This window comes from Homo sapiens, chromosome 13 (genome assembly GCF_000001405.40).
Source record: "Homo sapiens chromosome 13, GRCh38.p14 Primary Assembly".
NCBI classification, from domain to species: Eukaryota; Metazoa; Chordata; class Mammalia; order Primates; family Hominidae; genus Homo; species Homo sapiens.
Window position 1 is genome coordinate 84,926,297 of NC_000013.11, and position 2,445 is coordinate 84,928,741.

General features: G+C 45.8%; 1 annotated feature.

Annotated features, from left to right (window-relative positions):
* Positions 897-1,407: an enhancer, noted in NCBI's record as "H3K27ac-H3K4me1 hESC enhancer chr13:85501328-85501838 (GRCh37/hg19 assembly coordinates)". NCBI's record gives its function as "activates a minimal SCP1, AML or CMV promoter by ChIP-STARR-seq in naive H9 embryonic stem cells {active_cell/tissue: H9 hESC(naive)}" and the evidence as "EXISTENCE:reporter gene assay evidence [ECO:0000049][PMID:30033119]".

Below are 2,445 nucleotides of genomic sequence, written 5' to 3' on the forward strand. Positions count from 1 at the left end.
ATTGAAAAAAAAAGTAACAGGAAGAATAAAACAAAGAAAGCTCTGACATCACTTTTTTCTCATTTTGTTTCATCCATGTCCATGGTTTTACTGCCTTAATGAAATTGAACGTGTGAACGTGTCAATGAGCACCCAGTAATAAAAACACTCTTAAACTGAAAGGTATTCCTTTCAAGTTTCTCTCCTCTTGATATAAGTAGCATATGAAAAGTAACAAAGTATATGTTTTCATTCTCCAAGAGTGAATTGAATGATTTGAAACCTTCAAAAGATCTTCATAGCCTAAAACAGTGGTCCTCAACCTTTTTGGCACCAGGGACTTGTTTCATGGAAGACATTTTTTCCACACACCAGGCTGGAGGGAGTGGTGGTTTTTAGATCTCAAGTGCATTACATTTATTGTGCATCTTATTTTATTATTATTACACTGTAATATATAATTAAATAATTATGCAACTCACTATAATATAGAATCAGTGGGAGCCCTGAGCTTGTTTTCCTGCAACTAGAAGGTCCCATCTGGGGTTGATGGGAGACAGTGACAGATTTATCCAAGGAGACTGGTAGCTACAGGAGATTGATTCCTGGACCTGCAACTCTACCCCACAAATACCAAAATCTGCAGACGCTCAAGTCTCTAATTTAAAAAATGGTATAGTATTTGTATATTACCTATAGACATTCTCTCAGACATTTTAAACTCTAATTACCTATAATACCTAACATAATGTAAATGCTATATAAATAGTTGTTATACTGTTACTTTAAAAATTTTACTAATTTTATTGTATTGTTATTTTTAAAATATTTTGATTCACATTTGGTTAAAGCAACAGTTGTGGAAAGCACATATATGAAGGTTTGGTTCTTGAACACCAAATTTGTTCTTTATCAAGATTGTTTTGGTGGACGTGGGGCCGAGATGGACAACTAGAAGCAGTGGTGATCTCAGGCTCCCATCGAAAAGAACCATAATTAGCATGTGAATCCTGCACCAGCAACCAAGATATCTAGGTTCTTTCATCGGAACTGACAAGGTAGGGGGGTGCGATCCATGGAGAGGAAGGAAGAGCAGTGTGGTACAGTGGCCCACCTGAGAGCCACACTGGGCAGGGGAGCCCCCACCCTCCAGCCAAGGGAGGCGGTGAGTGAGCATGCTACCCAGCCAGGGAAACTGTGCTTTTTCCCCCGAACTGTGCAACCCACGGATTGGAAGGTCCCACTCGTGGACCCACGCCACCGGGGCCTAGGGTTCCAACCCCAGAGCTGTACAGATTCTCAACAACCTCTCAGCTAGAATCCGCTTAAGCCTGCCGAGTTTTCTGGTGGAGGGGCGACCAGCACCACAGTTGCTGCTGCTTGCTGTCTGAGCCGTTTGAGCTTCTTGGCAGAGGGGCAGCAGCCAGCACTGAGACTCATAACTGCCTAACACATAAGCTCCCCGGGTTGGAGGAGGGCGGCACCCATCACTATAGCTCCAGGCTGCGCTTTTCCCCTGTTGAAGCCAGGGAAGCTGGATGGCTTTGTCCAAAGAGGTGTTCCCCACAGCCCAACACGTAAGCTGTGGCAGACTACAGACAGAGCGCATCTTCAGGCCTGATTCTGACCCATCCTTCCTCACTGGGTGGAGCCTCCCTGCAGGAACTCCAACAACTCCAGCCGGAGGCTCAGGGACAGAACCCTGATCTCCCTGGGCCCGAGCCCCTAGGGGGAGGGGTGGCCACAGTCTCTGCAGACCGGCAGACTTTGCCTTTCCTCCTGGTAGTTCTCAGGAATCTGGGTAGCCCAGACTAGTGGGTTTCTTCCCAGCCAAGCAGACCTCATCCACCAAGGGACAAAGTGCTTCATTAAACAGGCCCTGTTCCCTGTGCCACCCAACTGGGTGAGACTCTTCAACAGGGGTTGTCAAACACCCTATACACAAGCGACTCTACTGGGATCAGGTTGGTGCCCCTCAAGGTCAGAGATCCAAGAAGAAGGAGCAGGCACCCATCTTTGCTGTTCTCCAGCCTCCTTCAGTGACATCTCCAGGCGAGGGATCTATCCAGATGAATAAGGCCTGAAGTGAACCCCCAGCAAACCGCAGCAGCCCTACAGAAGAGAGACCTTCCCATTGAAAGAAAAACAAACAAACAGAAAGCAACAACAGCAGCATCAACAACAAAAACCTCCCCACAAAAACCCTATCCAAGGGTCAGCAGCCTCAAAGATTAAAACTAGACAAACTGATGAAGAAGAGAAAGAAAGAATGAAAAAATGCTGAAAACCCAAAATGTCAGAGTGCCTCTTCTCCAAATCATTGCAGTGCCTCTCCAGCAAGAGCACGGAACTGGATGGAGGGTTAGATGGATGAAATGACAGAAATAAGCTTCAGAACAGAACAGAACAGAGACCTCAGAAATAACACCACACATCTACAACCATCTAATCTTTGACAAACCTGAC